At 45.8% G+C, this 19,027-nt stretch overlaps 1 protein-coding gene across 3 annotated transcripts in view, besides 1 other annotated feature; it reads left to right on the top strand.

Moving 5' to 3' along the window:
- FRMD4A (FERM domain containing 4A) overlaps window positions 1–19,027 on the top strand; it is a 687,219-nt gene that overhangs the window by 423,989 nt on the left and 244,203 nt on the right. The gene's annotated exons all lie outside the window — the stretch shown is intronic.
- Window positions 2,157–2,673: an enhancer, noted in NCBI's record as "H3K4me1 hESC enhancer chr10:13946263-13946779 (GRCh37/hg19 assembly coordinates)". NCBI's record gives its function as "activates a minimal SCP1, AML or CMV promoter by ChIP-STARR-seq in naive H9 embryonic stem cells {active_cell/tissue: H9 hESC(naive)}" and the evidence as "EXISTENCE:reporter gene assay evidence [ECO:0000049][PMID:30033119]".

Genomic DNA, 19,027 nt, shown 5'->3' with positions numbered 1-19,027 from the left:
GCACCTTTAGATGTGACTGACGGGCATTCCCATGGGAAGGCAAACAGTGCACCCTCAATTGCTGAAAGGTTGTGGGCTATTTAAATGCATTTGAATTCACTCCTAAGTTATTCACACACGAGCAGGGCGAACATCTCGGCAAGGAGCATACACTTGGTGCACTCAGAGGACAGGGATGGAATTGGAATGTAGGGCACAGTTATTTAGGACAAGACTGTTTCCTATGATTAACTTACAAGATGTAATTCACCCGGGGTCTCATTAAAGCTCACAGCAGTTACCTATGAGGCTCAAACCAAGGATTGACATCTAACATAGTGGAGAAGACGGTATTGTATACAGACAAAAGCTGCCAGATTTCACGCCCTTAGTGGATGCTGATAATGGAAATAATACCATAGCATATATTTTATTTAACATGTACTCTGTGCCAAAAACTCCCTCTTTATACATTACACAATGCAACCCTCATAGCATGCCTATGAGTAGGAATCTGAGATGAAGAAAAGGTTAGAACTCATTAGCCTAAAGTTACACCACTAGTAAGCTGTTGGTTGGTGGTTCAAACCTCAGGAGTCAGCTACCATAGCCTGTACTGCTGACCACTGTGTTATTGCACTCTGTGTCTTTGGGCAGGAAAGTGGATTAAACACCAGTTTCAGCCTGCTATATAGACAGATAAAAAAAGGCCCTTCTGGAAGATTCAGGCTGACCTGTTCAAAGTCACACAGGGAGAAGGAGCAGAATCAGAGATGTGACTGTGATTGCCATGAGGGTTACGTTGAAAATCAACAGAATCCATAAGTAGCTGCATTCTAATACACACCAAGAAGGATGCCAAGGTCCCAGACTGGGGGCTGCAGAGGCTCAGCCTATGCCTCATCATGGGGCTCGGCCCTGTTGACCCAGAACATTTCCAGGTGTCTGCAGAGCTCTGCTCGGGTGCCATGATTCTGATTTCAAGGGGTGGCAGAAATGTTCTGTGGCTGAACATGATTTTTGGCGCTTAAACTTCCAATTCTTTCCTCAAGGTTCCCCTCCGCTCCTCCAGAAACCAATCTGAGACTTCGCACTGCAAGCCCTTTATCAACCCATGCCTCCTTTTGCTCAAAATTAAGCCATGACGGAAAAAACGGAATGCACTTTGGAGGTCTTAAAAATTGACTTGGATACAAATCTGCTTCCTTCTAGGTACAGACTTTTGGCAAGTTACTTAGTGTTTCTGAGCCTCCATTTCCGAATCTATACAATGGAAATTAACAAGACCTACAGTGTTGTGTTGCCACAGAAATTATAGATAATGCGTGTAATGTGCATGGCACTCAACAAATAGTAGATATTATTATTATTATCACTATTATTATGAGCTGATCATATTAATAGTTTAGGTTATAACCATTTCCAAGGGAATTTCCTTTGTAAAGAGCACAAGGGGCATTCTCTGAAGATTTGAAAGGTACTTTCCTTTCTCTTCACTATGTATTTCCTCTTCTACTGAGAACTTGATTTCACTTTTGAGAAAAAATCTGTGCCTACCTTCCCAAAACCACACAAAGAAGTTAAAAGTACATGAACAAAGGAAGAACCTTAGATCTCTAAGAGCCAACATGAAAACAATTCATAGTTTACAAAGGAGAGACTAGGGAGAGATGGAAGCATGTCTATTTCAAGATCTAATAGAAACTAGACCTGCTCTATTATTAAGAGCTTTTATTAGGCCCCCTCAAAAGCTTTCAGGAGTCTTCAAAATGCATTGCAGGTATCCCCAAAAAAGTGGGCTTTATTGTTGGGGCCAGTGTTGCGACTGGTCCTTGTTCATTTATGAGAAACAGTGGTCACAGTTCCAGACTTTAAGGAAGGCTGCCTTCCTTAAAACTGTTTTAAGGAGTTGCGTATTAACACTGGTCAAATGCTGTTTTCTTTTCTTTTTTTTTTTTTTTTTTGAGATAGAGTCTCACTCTGTCGCCCAGGCTGGAGTGCAGTGGCACAATCTCCGCTCACTGCAACCTCTGCCTTCCGGGTTCAAGCGATTCTCCTGCCTCAGCCTCCTGCGTAGCTGGGATTGCAGGCATCCACCACCACACTGGCTAATTTTTGTATTTTTTAGTAGAGACAGGGTTTCGCCACGTTGGCCAGGCTGGTCTCAAACTCCTGACCTCAGGTGATCCTCCTGCCTTGGCTTTCCAAAGTGCTGGGATTACAAACGCTGCTTTCTACCATCACTGACTCCCCTGCTTTTTATTAGCAGGATGGATTTAACTATAAAAATCTATTGGGTTCTGATCACAATGCTTGGCTAAAAGAAAGTGATAAAGTGAAATTAAATACCATACACCGTGTACAGGTGAACACATTTTGAGGATCTGGAATACAAGAAAATTATTAAAACACAAAGCACTGCCGTGATGCCTGTCTTTGAAGAATTCTTGACGGAGAGCAGTATAAAGACATATGCAAAGGTGGTGATGAAAACGTGCTGAGCATAGAGATGCGCATGGGTTATTTAGGGCATGGGAGAGGGGAACCTCGGGGAAGGCTTCCCGGGGAATGAGGCGTCTGAGCGGAGCTGGAAGAGTGAGTGGGAGTCAACCAGGTGTCAGGGAGGACGGGAGGGTTTTCCGCGCAGATGTACGGCCGTGCGAAAGCAAGAAGGCAAGAAGCACAGGGGCCTGTAGGAGCGTTCTCCTTGGCTGGGAGGCGAAACGCCAGCAGGAAATAGTGGTTGGTGAGGCCAGACAGGCAGGCAGGCCCTATTTTCAACTGGACTGTAGGCAAAAGGGGACAAAGGCCACTTCCGCATCTGTTCACTGTCATGTCCCAGCCCCCACCAGTGCCTGGTGATGAACAAATGCCAGGGAGCTTCAGCTTCACTCGGGGTGTGAGAGATATTTAGATATTTCAGAAGTGGAGCGACACGATTATATTTCATTTTAGATAGGGAGGCAATCGGTTAGGAAGCATTTCCATCAGAATTAAGTTCTTAAGACTGCAATTCTACATCCAAGAATGTCCATTCATTCATTTTATTCACTCATCAGACAATTTTTTTTTTTAAGAGACAAGCTGTCGCTGTCACCCAGGCTGGAGTGTAGTGGCATGGTCCTATCTCACTGCAGCCTCCAACACCTGGGTTCACACCATCTTCCCACTTCTGCCTCTAGGGTAGCTGGGACCACAGGCACATGTCACCACCACGCCCTGGCTATTTTTTTTTTATTTTTATTTTTTTAGAGATGGGGTCTTGCTATGTTGCCCAGGCTGGTCTCAAACTCTTGGCCTCAAGTGATCCTCATGCCTCAGCCTCCTGAGTAGCTGGGACTACAGGCGTGCATCACTACACCTGGCTAATTTTTATTTAAAAACATTTTTTGTAGAGTTGGAGTCTTGCTATGTTGCCCAGGCTGGTCTCAAACTCCTGGCCTAGAGTGATCCTCCTGCCTTCACCTTCCAAAGTGCTGGAATTACAGGCATAAGCCACCATGCACGGCCTCAACAAATATCTATTGAATGTTTAGTATGTTCCAAAGACTGTTCTAGGCTCAGGAGATTTAGCAAAAAGCCAAATGGACGTAAATCCCTGCTCTCGTGGGAAGGACAGGTAATAAAACAAACAGCTAAGTAAATAAATGGTACAGTCTGTTAGAAGGCAAAAGAAAGAATGGAGACAAACTAGGAAAGGGATTAGGAACGGGGGGAGCAGGAGGTGGGCAGGTGGGAGGAGTTGCTATTTTTAAGAAAGGTGGTTAGAAAAGATCTCACTAATAAGGGTACATCTGAGCAGGGACCTGAAAAGGTAAGAGCTTGATTCCTACTGGTATCTGGAGGAGGGCCTTCCAAGCAGATGGAAGTGCAAAGGCCCTGGGGCTAGCACAAGCGTAAAGACAACAGGGTGCCCGGAGCACAGTAAAAGCCAAGAGGTAGGAAAATTGTGCTGAGTGTAAGCTCCAATCAGCAGGATCAATATCTTTGGAATCTGTTAAAAATGTAAATTATTACACCCTAACCCAAGCTAAGAATCAGAGACCTGGGTTGGAAATGGGAGTGGGGGTAACACTCAAGAATCTGTTGTTTGTTGTTGTTTTTTTTTTTTTTTTTTGAGACTGCATCTCACTCTGTCATCCAGGCTGGAGTGCAGTGGCGTGATCTTGGCTCACTGCAATCTCCACCTCCCGGGTTCAAGCAGTCCTCCTGCCTCAGCCTCCCAAGTAGCTGGGATTACAAGTGTGTGCCACCACACCCAGCTATTTTTTTGTGTTTTAGTATAGATGGGATTTCACCATGTTGGCCAGGCTGGTCTTGAACTCCTGACCTCAAGTGATCCACCTGCCTCGGCCTCCCAAGGTGCTGGGATTACAGGTGTGAGCCACTGTGCCCAGCCCAGGAATCTATTTTGACTGGTCTTCCAGGGGATTCTCATGTTGGCTCAGTTGGCTCATCTCTGTCACTCTCTCTCTCTCTCTCTCTCTCTCTCTCTCTCTCCAGTATTTTGCCTAACCATCAATTTCCATAAGTCTAAATGCCCTCCATGTATAGATATCTCCAACTTTTTTATTTTCCATGCAGAGAGATCTTTCTAAATGTTAACCTTTTGTACCCAATCCCATCTCAACAAATAAGCCTAGGCTGGCACACTGGCTCATGCCTGTAATCCCAACACTTTGGGAGGCCAAGGCATGAGGATCACTTGAGTTCAAGACCAGCCTGGGCCACATAGCAAGACCCCATCTTTACAAAAAAATTTAAAAATAAAAATTAGCCAGGTATAGTGGTACATGCCTGTAGCCCCAGCTACTCAGGAGGCTGAGACAGGAGGATCACTTGAGCTCAGGGGTTCAAGGTTACAGTGAGCTATGATCACGCCACTGTACTCCAGCCTGGATGACAGTGTGAGACCCTGTCTCTAAAACAAACAAATATACAAAAAATTAAATAGCCTATCTTCTTATTTAGTGAAATCAGAATCCTAGAAATTTGATAGCCTGAACCATATTATTATTTATTAACAGATTATTTGCTATTATAATTTGGAGTAGGTCTGACTTCTATGGGGTGGCAGGAGAAATCATTGCCTCCCAAGTCATCACTGGGGGCCAGCTTCCTGCCCTGTCCCCGCTCTGAGAAGCTCACTCGCCTGTTCTCCCTGGGGCTGGGAGGTCCCGGGGCTCTTACTTCCTGCTCTGGCCCATCCTTTCAATATAGTCCTATTGCTCACTTGAGAGATTGGTAGATTGATGTCACTTGCACATAAACCTTCACAATAATTGATGTTACAATAGGAAAAGGAATATTTGCTGAAAATCTTTTCCATTCTTTTTTTTTTTTTTTTTGAGATGAAGTCTCGCTCTGTTGCCCATGCTGGAGTGCAGTGGCATGATCTCAGCTCACTGCAACCTCCACCTCCTGGGCTCAGAGATTCTGCTGCCTCAGCCTCCTGAGTAGCTGGGATTATAGGCACCCGCCACCATGCCCAGCTAATTTTTGTATTTTTTGTAGAGACAGGTTTCACCATGTTGGCCAGGCTGGTCTCAAACTCCTGATCTCTGGTTCAAGGCAGATCCACCTGCCCTGGCCTCCCAAAGTGCTGGGATTACAGGCATGAGCCACCACACCCAGCCTCCATTCAATTTTACAAATATTTCTGCCTTAGCTGCTTTTTGCAGTGAAGCAATGGGCCAATAAATAAATTATAATTATTTGTGCTAGGCACGAGAAGGGACGCAATACCACCTAATACTCGACCATGCCTGAGGGTTGAGGAACACACCTTAGGGTTGAGAGCACCGGCTCTGGAATCAGACTGCCTGAGTTTGGTAACTGGCAGTGGCCGACTTCTCGTCTGTAGGATCTGAGATGGCTTATCACACCTCTCCCTGTGTTTCCATTCCCTCACCTATAAATGGGGTTAACAATAGTGCCCATCTCAGAGGGCTGTTGCGAAGACTGAGTTATTATACGTAAATCACATAATCAGTACCTGGCACTTGGTAAATGCCAACTAAGTTTTAACCTTCTTATTTTATTTTATTTTATTTTATTTTAGAGACGGAATCTCGCTCTGTCGCCCAGGCTGGAGTACAGTGGCGTGATCTAGGCTCACTGCAACCTCTGCCTCCCAGGCTCAAGTAATTCTCCTGCCTCAGCCTCCTGAGTAGCTGGGATTACAGGCACCTGCCAACACGCCTGGCTAATTTTTGTATTTTTAGTAGAGATGGGGTTTCACCATGTTGGCCAGGCTGGTCTCAAACTCCTGACCTCAATTGATCCACCCACCTCGACCTCCCAAAGTCCCGGGATTACAGGCATGAGCCACCATGCCCGGCCCTATTTTTATTAATACATATTTCTGAGTAAATAAACAAAAAAGCCTTAGGGAGAGAGCTAGCCGAAGGTACTTGAGTATACTTAGAATGTTAACCAATTTTATACCGTGGTACTCGCTGGAATACAGGTACTCCCAGGGGCTCCAAGGTACTTTAATTAGCTTGTGATGTTTTGATTGATTCTTGTCTGTGTTTCAGGAAGCCTTGCTCTGGGTTTTTGTTGCCATGAGTTGCAGTCTAAATCATGATTCCCAGCCAAGAAAAATCATAACCAACTATCTAATGTAATGAGAACACAACAAAACTATAAAACTTGGTTATTTCAAATGACAGAGCTGTTGGTGAAAAAATAACAAAATAAAACACAGCCATTGGATAATTTCTTCATACACCCCGGGGACCCTGGTTTTAAGTACTTGATCGCAGGCCACACATGACAGGAGACGGAATTATCCCTTTTTGATTGAAGTGGCTCAGAATTGGCCTCTAATTGACCTGGGAGTAGGAAGCAAAAAGGATTGGGTATAAAAATATAATAGGATTCACTTGAAACCAGCCAAGCACTTTAACCTGCCCCAGAGGGATCTCTCTGCATTTTTAACACCTGCTTGACATATGAAAGGAAAACTTGCCAGTGTTATTCACTATAAACACAGAAAATGGAATGTAAAGCTATGTCCATATGGTGCAGGTTAGGAACTGATGGAACGACACAGGAGCCTATCAATTCCCAGGTGTCTTCCGCTGTAACTGGGACTCCATCCACAGTTAATAGTGAATACAAAGTAATTCTGTGGCCATGCTGCCTGTGACCGCCAGTGTATTTCACATGTACAGCCTGTGGCAGGCAAGCATGGACAATAAGAGCTCAAGCCTCCAAAAGACGACTCTGGGTTCAAATCTGATCAGCAGAGTCCCCTCAGGCATGTGGCTTCATTTTCTTTTTTGTCATAGAGACAGGGTCTCGCTCTGGCACCCAGGCTGGAATGCAGTGGTATGATCATAGCTCACTGCAGCCTCAAACTGCTGGACTGAAGCTATCGTCCCACCTCAGCCTGCCAGAAAAAGTGCTGGAATTACAGGTGTGAGCCACCACACCTGGCCCACTTCACCTTTTTACATCCCAAGTTCCTTGTCTGTAGAAAAGGGACAGAACAGTTTCCACCTCATAGGAATCCCATGATGATTAAATTAAAGTTTGGAAAGCTCTAGCACTGCCTAATACAGAGTACATACTCACCAAGGGACAGAACAGTTTCCACCTCATAGGAATCCCATGATGATTAAATTAAAGTTTGGAAAGCTCTAGCACTGCCTAATACAGAGTACATACTCACCACAATGTTAGTTGTTCACTATTATCAGTTGTGTGGTTTTGGAAACAATATGTGTTGAACCCCTAGTCTTCATAAGGCTGGCAATAGATATTATCAGGCTTATTTTATTTTATTTTATAGACAGGGTCTTGCTCTGTCACCCAGGCTGGAGTGCAGTGGTGCGATCACAAACTTCTGAGCTCAAGTGATCCTCCCACCGCATCCTCCCAAGTAGCTGAGACTACAGGTGCAAACCCAGCTAATTTTTAAATTTTTTTTGTAGAGACAGGGGTCTCACTATGTAGCCCAGGCTGGTCTCAAATTCCTAGCCTCAAGTGATCCTCCCACCTCGGCCCTCCAGAGAGCTGGAATTACAGGTGTGAGCCACTGTGCCCAGCTCCCAGGCTCATTTTAAAGGTGAGAAACAGCTTCAATAAGAGGCTTATTCAAGGTTGCCCTGGAAAAGGAGTCCAAGACTGCCCAATGGTATTAGCTCCAAGGACAGGATTACACAACCCAGCTTCAGGTCCTCCCTTACCTTGTCTCCTGTCCTCAGCTCGGCAAGTACACAAAGGCTTGAGTGGGAGAGATCTTTCTCCACCAATAGTGAGACCCTAGCAAAGATCAGAGCTAAGCCATCATCTCTTAATTGTCCCATGTATGCTCCAAGCTGGTCAGAGAAGCTGTGACTCAAATCCTAGAGTTAAGAACCTGGCACTTGTTATTAGTGGAGAAGACAGAATTTTTGCTCCATCACTTTGGGCATACACACAAAATCACATTAATTTATTTCTCTAAACCCAATTAAATTTGACTACATCCTCATTCATTGGGATGGCAAGAATTTGCATCCTCTTCCCTCTCTCTCAGGCCACCTTGGACCTCTAAACAGGGAAGTGGTCTCGTTATCAATTTTTTATTTTTTTATTTTTTTGAGATGGAGTCTCTCTCTGTCACCCAGACTGGAGTACAGTGGCACAATCTCAGCTCACTGCAACCTCCACCTCCTGGGTTCAAGTAATTCTCCACCTCCCAAGTAGCTGGGACTACAGGCACGCCCCACCACACCCAGCTGACTTTTATATTTTTAGTAGAGACTGGCTTTCACTATGTTATCCAGGCTGGTCTCAAACTCCTGACCTCAGGTGATCCGTCCACCTTGGCCTCCCAAAGTGCTGGGATTACAGGCATGAGCCACCGCACCCAGCCTCTTGTCATCAATCTAATAGAGTTGCCACTAAGGTGCTTGGGGCAAAAGGACTGGCCGTTCATTTTGAGGCCAGACTCCAACCCTCTTAACTGAACTCCAGGATCCTTTGCTGTGCCTAAGACACATATCTTAGCTTTTTTTTTTTTTTTTTTTGAGTCGGAGTCTCTGTCTGTCACCCAGGCTGGAGTGCAATGACGGATCTCAGCTCACTGCAGCCTCCGCCTCCCAGGTTCAAGCAATTCTCCTGCCTCAGCCTTCTGAGTAGCTGGGATCACAGGCAGCTGCAACCACACCCGGCTAATTTTTTGTATTTTTAGCAGAGACGGGGTTTCACCATGTTGACCAGGCTGGTCTTGAACTCCTGGCCTCAGGTGATCCACCCTGCTTGGCATCCCAAAGTGCTGGGATTACAGGCTTGAGCCACTGTACCTATAATCTAAGGCCTATAATGTTTAATTCTAAGACACATATCTTAGAATTTAGCTCCCAACTCACAGGCCATGCACTGGCCCATCAGGTTGCCTGCCCACTCTTGAGGCACTCAGCAGGCATAGGGTCTCGTGTCATCTGCCCATCATGTACAGATGTTCTCTCTTCCTTCTTTTGGGGGTGCTATCACCCTTCTCCATCCCTTCCTACCTCCCCCATTTCCAAACCTCAGAGCACCTCTCCTCTCTTTAAGAGTTCAGCTCTTTCCAAAGTAAAGCTCCTTCAGTCTGTGTAAGAGAAGCAAGGGTTACCCCAGGTATTCAGCTCTCCAAATCCTGCTGACCCACTGAAATAACAAAAAGAAAAGTATTTCTGCTGCTTCTTTCTTCTCCAGCAAGGACAGCAAAACACAAGGCAAAGGCCCATAAACCCGGCTGCCATGTTTCTCTTTGCAGAAAGAGTCTCGAAAAGTATTAAACTCAAGCTGAAAATGGAAGCACTCTAAATTATTTAATCACAACTACATGTTAGGGCTGGTCAGCGAAGCAGCACTTTGCAAAATATTCTTTGATTCATAGCCACTTACGCCTAGTGTTCCATTTTTGGAATGCCACTTAACTGAACAATGGGGCATAATAAAAATTTTATCTCTTCAAATTCTTGTTCCTTGAATTTTTCTAGGTAATATATATGAATTTCATGCAAAAATTCAAAAATTTGCAACCTCACGCATAAACGGATTAAACCTTTGCAAGTAGCTGACTGAATTCTCAGTGGTAGAATCGGCTGCTCTTCGGGGAACAGACCATTGTGGAGTTTTGACTGGCAAAGCTTTTTATCTGTCAATTCCAAGGATAACCACTGGTGAAACAGGAAATCTATTTCTTTTTATGTTTTCATTTCCAGGTAACTTAAGTTTCAATTTTATTTTATTCATCAAGTTTTACCATGACCTATTTCTTTTCTTTCTTTTTTTTTTAACTTCAAGTTCTGGGACACATGTGCAGAACTTGCAGGTTTGTTACATAGGTATACTGTGCCATGGTGATTTGCTGAACCTATTAACCCATGATCTAGGTTTTAAGCCCCACATGCATTAGGTATCTGTCCTAATGCTTTCCCTCCCCTTGCCCCTCAGACCCTGACAGGCCCTGGTGTGTGATGTTCCCCTCCCTGTGTCCATGTGTTCTCATTATTAAACTCCCACTTATGAGTGAGAACATGCGGTGTTTGTTTTTCTGTTCCTGTGTTAGTTTGCTGAGAATGATGGCTTCCAGCTTCATCCATGTCTCTGCAAAGGATATGAACTCATTCTTTTTTACAGCTGCATAGTATTCCATGGTGTATATGTGCCACATTTTCTTTATCCAGTCTATCATTGATTAGCATTTGGGTTGGTTCTAAGTCTTTGCTATTGTAAATAGTGCTGCAATAAACATATATGTGCATGTGTCTTTATAGTAGAATGATTTATAATCCTTTGGGTATATACCAAGTAATGGGATTGCTGGGTCAAATGGGATTTTTGGTTCTAGATCCTTGAGGAATTGCCACACTGTCTTCCACAATGGTTGAACTAATTTACACTCCCACCAACAGCGTAAAAGCATTCCTGTTTCACCACAGCCTCGCCAGCACCTGTTGTTTCCTGACTTTTTAATAATCGCCATGCTAACTGGCATGAGATGGCATCTCATTGTGGTTTTGATTTGCATTTCTCTGATGACCAGTGATGACGAGATTTTTTTCATATGTTTGTTGGCTGCATAAATGTCTTCTTTTGAGAAGTGTCTGTTCATATCTTTTGCCCACTTTCTGATGGGCTTGTTTGTTTTTTTCTTGTAAATTTGTTTAAGTTCCTTGTAGATTCTGGATATTGGACCTTTGTCAGATGGGTAGATTGCAAAAATTTTCTCCCATTCTGTAGGTTGTCTGTTCACTCTGATGATAGTTTCTTTTGCTGTGCAGAAGCTCTTTAGTTGGATTAGATCCCATTTGTCAATTTTGTTGCAATTGCTTTTGGTGTTTTAGTCATCACGACCTATTTCTGTTAGTATTTCAAATTCTTCGAATACAGCTTTTCTTCCTTCAATTCTTATTTGTTCCCAGTCCAGGCCCCCAAGCACAAAAGGTTTTGGGAGGGGTAAAGAGATCTTGTGCCAGGTACTAGTTCTGGTTGTGGGGATACAGTGAAAACATGGCACATACACACCATGGAATACTATGCAGCCATAAAAAAAGAATGAGATCATATCCTTTGCAGGGACATGGATGGAGCTGTAGGCCATTATCCTTAGCAAACTAACATAGGAAGAAACCAAATTCTGCATGTTCTCATTTATAAATGGGAGCTAAACGATGAGAACACATGGACACATAGAGGGGAACAACACACAATGGGGCTTATCACAGGATAGAGGGTGAGAGGAGGGGGAAGATATGGAAAAATAACTAATGGGTAATAGGCTTAATACCTCAGTGACAAAATAATTTGTACAACAAACCTCCATGACGCTAGTTTACCTATGCAACAAACCTGCACGTGTACCCCTGAACTTAAATACAACTTTTTTAAAAAGCCCCAAAAGGTTTATGCTTATTCAGCCAGACCCTGTTCTAAGTGCTTTACATATATTAACTCGTTTAATCCTCATAACAGCCCTACAAGGTAGGCAATATTATTGTCCCCATTTCATAGATGAGTGTTCTCAACTGAGGCACAGAGAGGTTAAGAAACTTGCCTAAGCTTGCACAGCTAGTGGGTGGCCAGGCAAGATTCAAGCCCAGGCAGAATGGCTTCAGTCTGTGCCCTTCACACAGGTCTGTGAATCCTGATGGTGGCTAAGTGTTAAGAAAAAAATAAACAGGATGGTGATATATTAAGTACCTGGGGGAAAACATTCCCCATGTGCTGGTCACCGAAGGTTATCTAAGAGGCAGCATTTGAGTAAGAACCTGAAAGACGACCAGGAGCCAGCTACCCAAAGAGTGGGGTAGGGAGCAGGGCCTGGCCTTCCAGGGAGAGGAAGCAGGAAATGTGAATAATATGTGATGAAGACAAAGAGGATGTGGCAGGAGCAGTGAGAAGCCACCCGCAGTCTTTAAGCAGAGCAGTGATGTGAGCTGAGCTCTTTCTCCAGCCTGGGCTACTGGGTGATCCGCGGATGCGTGACCACCTGGAACATACGGAGCCCTGGAAGAGGGTTCTGTAGCTGGAGGGTAGGGGGTGACACGATTTCTGGTGGGGCTGGGTGGCAAAAGATAAGACTGGATGACCAGGGGGTCCTTATAGCCATCAGAAGGAATATGGACTTTTTGTCCCCAAAGCCAGGGAAGCCCTGAACAGGTTTTTAGCGAAAGTTACGGGATCAGATCTGGGATTTAGGAGAATCGCTCCAGCTGGAGTGGAGAATGCATCTGAGAGAGATAAGATCAGCACCCATTCACAGGGCTGCTGGAGACATCCTGGTGAAAGATGATGTGGCCTGAGTATGCCTGGCGCCCAGCAGTTGCTCACTCAGCTTCAGGCACTGTTGGGATAAGGGGCTGCCCTCATGACTTTTCATGAGGTAGTTATGAGGACAGGCTCCATGATCAGGTGAGGAATGAGAGAAAGGAGGGAGGGAAATGAGCTCTCTATCCCTGTTTCTGGCTTTGGGGAGGAGGAGGGAGCATGCTGTTTACTAGGAGAGGGAGCCTGGAGGCAGGATTGGCCAGTGAGGCAAGTTCAGTTTAGGACATACAGAATATGACAGTGGCCAAGGCGGAAAGCAGGAGGTGTAGATGTGGATAAAATTCAACAACTCCTCTAAGGATGGAAACAAAATATTGGAAGAGAAATGTATGTCTGAGCTGGGTGCGGTGGCTCACGCCTGTAATCCCAACACTGTGGCCAAGGTGGGTGGATCACCTGAGGTCAGGAGTTCAAGACCAGCCTGGCCAACATGGCAAAACCCCGCCTCTACTAAAAAATTAGCCGGGCATGGTGGTGGGTGCCTGTAATCCCAGCTACTCGGGAGGCTAAGGCAGAAGAATCGCTTGAACCCAGGAGGGGAGGCTGCAGTGAGCCGAGATTGTGCCACTGCACTATAGCCTGAGTAACAGAGACAGACTCTGTCTCAAAAAAAGAAAAAAAAATGTTGTAGGTCTGAACATTTCCTCATTGTCCATTACTAGGTGTTGCAGTCAAAACAAATCAGGACTAGAACTAGTCTGCGTGCAAAGAAACAATATGCCCTCTGAGGACCTCAGAACACAAGGAGATGGGCTCCAATTGCATTATCAAAAAATGGGGTTTTGCATTGGAATACGCCTCACAGACTTTAGAGAGGTACCTGAGAATCCCATTCGAACCTGGCTTCAGATCATCAAGTCTCCAGTCAGCTTGAAATAACACAGGTAGTTAAGACCAGCCTGGGCAACATGACAAGATCCCGTCTCTACAAAAAATACAAAAATTAGCAGCGTGTGGTGGGGTGTGCCTGTAGTCCCAGTTACTTAGGAGGCTGAGGCAGGAAGATCACTTGAGCCCAGGACGGGGAGGTTACAGTGAGCCGTGATCACACCATCACACTCCAGCCTGGGTGACAGAGTGAAACTCTGTCTCTATAACAAACAAACAAACAAACACAAAACAGGTAGTCCTTAACACCAGCGTTCAACTTTTTTCTCCAATGCTAACTGTATGCCCAATTCCCTTTCTATTGATGGTGAGGCCTTTTGAACTGTTGAAAATTTTTACCAGTGTTGTTTAGAAAACAACACAGGACCTGTGACTGGAAAAAGGTATAATTTTCAGTCAGTTGGAAGACAGGATGTGAGTGATTTCTTTTTATTACGAAGTTTGTAAGTCCTCAGAGCCTACCGGTCTCCGGAAAATGATGTTTCTAGATCTACCAAGTACTAGATCAACCATGGTGGGAGGAAAACCAGTCTCTCCCCTGAAGAGTGGATGGGTGCAGGTTGGAAATTCTAGAGAAAGACTTTACCCAGAAACAAGTCGGCTTTTGCTAAGTGGAGGCTCTTGCCAGCATCCCCTTTTATTTTATCACCGTGTTTTGACAATTCATGAAAAAAAATGTGTCTAAGAGCAAATTGAGCTCCTCAAGCAATAAACATTTAGACATACCCTGTGAATTGAGTTATTGTTCTTGGTGGGGAATCTTCCCAGAGTTTGTTTCTCTTTTTTGGAAAGACAACGTGTCAGCCCGTTTTCCTACCCCGGGTCTCTCGCAATGGAAGTCTCCCTCTCCCAGTCATTGTCGCGAAGCCTTGACAATAGCCACATGCCTCGGTTATCCTGCAGCAACTTCCATTGAAGAGTTGAGGGGAGATTAAAATTCAATACAATTGGACTAGATCGAGGGGTAAGAGCTGTGCCTTCAGCCAAGGGAGCTGCTGTCTCCGGGCTCTCAGGGTAGGAGAGGGCCTCGAGCGGTGGCTTTGGGTGGGTTTTGTGGGGGAGCCAGGGGTCCCCCGCTTGGGGACCTCCGTGCTGGGCATCCCGCACGCTTTGGACGCGCGCAGCCTCACCGGGAGCGAACTTTGTCTCGCCTGCGGGTGCCACGGAGAGGGGCTGGGAAGCCGAGCCAGCTCTGGCGGCGACTGGGGGCGTCCCTGGCTTTCTGGGGGGGCGGGGGCGCGCATTGTTGTCCAGGATCGGGCGGCGGGCGGTGGCGGCGGCGGTGGCGCGCGGTGGCCGCCTAGCACCCGACCTAGCAGCGCGCCGGGGACTGGCTCGGGGCGCGCTGGGCGCACCATGCGGCGGGCCGGGCGCGGGCGAGGGGCGGGCCGGCGGCGGGGCTCACTGGCGCCGGGCCAGGCTCGGCGCGAGAGGCGCGAGCGGGCTATGGGCTGACGCCGAGGGCCCGCGGCGGGGGCGGCGGCGGGGACGGGGCGGGGGCTCGCCAGCTGCGGGCGCCAAGGCCGCCTAGTAGGCCAAGGGCCTTCGCCCGGGCGAATGGGACGCCCGTTCCGGGGTACCAGCCGCTTGCAGCCAGAAGTTCCTCGGATCCCTTGGAAGCGCAAAAAATAAAAGGTAATGTGTCTTTGTTTCCCGGTCGCGGTGGCAGGGAGGCGACTGACGGCAGCCCTTCGCCTTCCGTGTTTTCACGCTGGGCCGGGGAAAAGGGACGCGCCGCTGCTTCTTTACTGGGGGCCTGGAGTCGTTTATTTCGCGTATGTTACAGTTTTTAAATGCAAATCCCACGTGGGGCACATACTGTGCTTTCTTCTGCAACCCTCCCCTCGGCACACACACACCTACTTTCCTTGGGCACCTCAGTCCCACGCTGTCTGAATCTACCCGGGGAGATAGGAAAGGACATGGCTTTAGGCAGAGCTGTGTAGGCTTTTTTTAAAACCATTTTCTGAGAGTGCCAGGGGAGCCCTTTCCTTTGGGTGCAGGACAGGGCGTTTCAGACAAGGGTGGCGGGGGCCAGCAGCCGATCGCCGGTGCCCGGGGCTGCTAAGATGGACTGCTTTTTACGTTCCAAATGGCTGCAGCAAGTTTGATGCAGAGAAAACGGACGCTCGGAAGGGGAGGAGAACAGAAGGGAACCCCCTTTAGTACGTGCTCATTTAAAATTGGCTAAATGCAGTGCTTCTATATTGGAGGCAGCTGCTCAAATGTTGGTGCACGTTGAATTCAGAAAAGATTCCCGGTGCTGCACCGAGAAAGCTGCGTGGGCTGCCTGTGCGTAACGAGCGACTTGGTGCCTTTTTCTCCAGTACCCTGTTAGCAGAGTAACTGTTCGTACATTCAGGCGTATTCTGCGAAATTTCCAAGGGATGGCTGTGCTAATAATAGCTCTGGCGACGGCTTCTTAATAGACATCCTCATTCTGAACGATGCAGCCATGCCAGCCCCCCGGGAAGTGCAGCTTGCTGAGAAACGAGAACCAATGCCCGCAAAGGACTCCCTGACCCCACCATGAATGGATGCGGCTCTGGCTCCCCTATGAATGGAGCATCCCAGTGGAGACGCTGCTACTGCTGTTTCTGGCTTCTTTCAGTTCGAATCCTCCTCACAGATAGTGATGAAAGGGGTTGCTCTGAAAACCTAGACAGGCACATTTCTAAGTCTGAGCTGGTCAGTGGTGACAGCCTGTTCTATCGGGAATACATCTGCCTGGACCTGATTGAGGGTTCAGCTGCTGGTACCCCCCTTCCACCTCTGCATCCGTAAGTCGTCCTTTTCCAACAGCATCACTGATCTGTGGGAAAGCACCGCTCAGAGAGCCCGGGACAAACTGCTGACTTCATCCTGGGAAGCCACTGCTGACCCTGGGGAAGTACCTTAGGAACTGGATACAGTAACCTGTCCCTTAGACTTCATGAAACTTAGCTGGGTATGCCGTCCTTCAAATGTGCAGCAAAGTGCTTTTGCATTGGGGGCAGCAGTCAGGGAGAGGAAGACACATTTCATTGTTTTGTTTTTGGTCTTTAAATTGTATCAAGCCCATTCGTAGCATTAAGCCCCATTTATGTTTGAGTGTGACTTGGACTTGGACAGGGCCAGAAGACCAAAGCCTCAAATCAACAGAAATCTGGTTTGGTTCTCAAAGTGTTACTTGTCTCTTGCAACCTAGAAGGTTAGGAGATGATCCAGTTTGTACACTGTCTTCTGTTAGATCCATTCTGTTGCAAAGGAAGTTTGGGTTTATTTAGGGCACAGCAGGAATGAGGGTCGTGTGACAAATAGGTTTGAATCCACTTGGTCCTGAGAAGTTAAATAGCTGCAATTAATTTAATTGGAGGCAATATTTGGACATGCTTTGAAATCAACGCTATATTGTCCAGCCAGTGAATACAATGTTGCCTCCAGATAAGTTAGAAAGAAGTAATGACTGGTGTATGAAGTTGTGTGGGTAGAAGTAATGTTTTAGGGAGAAAAAATTAAATTCTTATTCTTTCATTAAAGGGGAATTGTTTTAGTAGGAATAAGGATCAGAAAATCTCTCCACCCTCTTTTGTTCTGACCAAGTGTGATCTGCCGCTGCTATTGCTATATTGTTTTTGGCACTTGTCTTGAACTAATTTTATTAATAAGACTTGTTATTTATGGCACGGGTTCTCTTTGTAATTTGCAGACATTGTTATCAAGTCCCCTGATAACCTGGCAGGTGGCTGGTGCCATTAGCATGATCTCGTCATTGGGGAAACTGAGACCCCTTGAGGTTCAGTGAGTTGCTGATTTCATAATCCATGAGAACAGCATCCCAGATGTGCACAGCTCTCGATGTTATTGTCACAGCGAAGTTATAGCCTGAGGTCAAAGGGAAAGACATCCAGTGACTCCTTGCTTGGTTCTGGAACTTGGGGAGAGAGCTCTGTGGAATAGCAGATATGCAAGAGTTGCCAAGGAAAGAGCTCTTGAGTCAACCTTAAGGAGTGGATGCAAAAAGTGAGATTGGTTTGTGATGTGAAAGAAAGGGATATGGAAGGTTCAGGAGATCTCATATTGAGGGGACTTGCCAGGCTACCTTTGTCTTTAAGTAAGTGTTGGGTGAGACTACCATCAAAGATCGTTACTGCCTTTACTGCATGAATATACCACTTGTGTTTACATTGTTTATGCTGGTGCGTGTGTGTTTGCATCCGCACGTGCGTGCAGCATGCTTGTAGTTCAATTCACGTGTCCAGCAAGCCATATACTTACCCCTCATAAGACTTGCGTTTAGCCTGACGCATCATACTGAATGAAAGTATAATGGAGCAATTTACAATCTAAAGCTTTGTTCTTAGATATTTTTGCATATTTTAAGAAAAGGAACAGTATAACTTTTGAAGAATTCCTAGTTCAATATGTCAAAATGAGAAATAGACATGCTAACAGTTAACCAGCTTTTGAAGTTCTTTTAAACTACTCTCCACAGAGTATTAGAATGTCTGAGTCCAGTGTCAGGAGTAACTTCAATTCATATGTCTTATTTTTGGGGTAGCACCTGATATGATAACATTTGTGGCAGAATTTCTCTTTTTTGGTTTATTTGTTGTGCAAAATCTCAGCATCTTAGAAGCAATTTCTGGGACCTCATAAGAAAGCAATAGGGTAATGATCTTCTAATGATTCCTCAGTCTAAACCCTAAAAACTATATTCCCCTTGAGCTAAAACAGGAGTTCTCTTACCTTAATAGAATCAGCAAGTAACTCAGGCCCATGTGCCCTCATGACCTCCCCAGGACACTGCATTTTTATCGGTTCACCCCACCTTACCCATTTCTGATTCTGCGCTGTCCGTTTCTCTCTGGAAATGTCATGAAAGGAACAACAACAAAAAGATGTTGGATGTCTCTGAAAAGTTAGGCATTGATGTAAGAAAAGGAAGAAAAGGGATCATTGCATCAATTGTGGAGGGTATGTAGATATTTGGGTTTTTCCTCCAATAGCAAAATCAGAGTCAGAGAATCTTGGAAAAGTGGCTGCTAAAAAATCTGATCTTGTGGGGAAGGGCGTGCTGGATTTTATCTTGAGGTGTTCATTCCAGCCATAATCAGACTGAAGTACATCAGTAGTATTTTCCATTTTTAGTTGTTGTTTTTCCCAGAAAATTTCATCTCCAGAGTTGGTACAATAGCTCTTGGAACTTTGGGCTTTGGAGTCACGATTGCACACAAAGGCCAGACGGTTTCAATGCTCTCTTCTGCAAAAAGTTTTCTGAATCAGCATAAATCCAGCTTATCAAAAATTCTCTTCACAGCAGTTTCATTTTAGTTCCCTAAATCCATCAGCTGCCACCCTTTCCGTTGTC

The sequence above is a fragment of the Homo sapiens genome, chromosome 10, assembly GCF_000001405.40.
Source record: "Homo sapiens chromosome 10, GRCh38.p14 Primary Assembly".
NCBI classification, from domain to species: Eukaryota; Metazoa; Chordata; class Mammalia; order Primates; family Hominidae; genus Homo; species Homo sapiens.
Note: the sequence above shows the minus strand (reverse complement) of the source record. Positions and strands in the feature narration are given on the sequence as shown.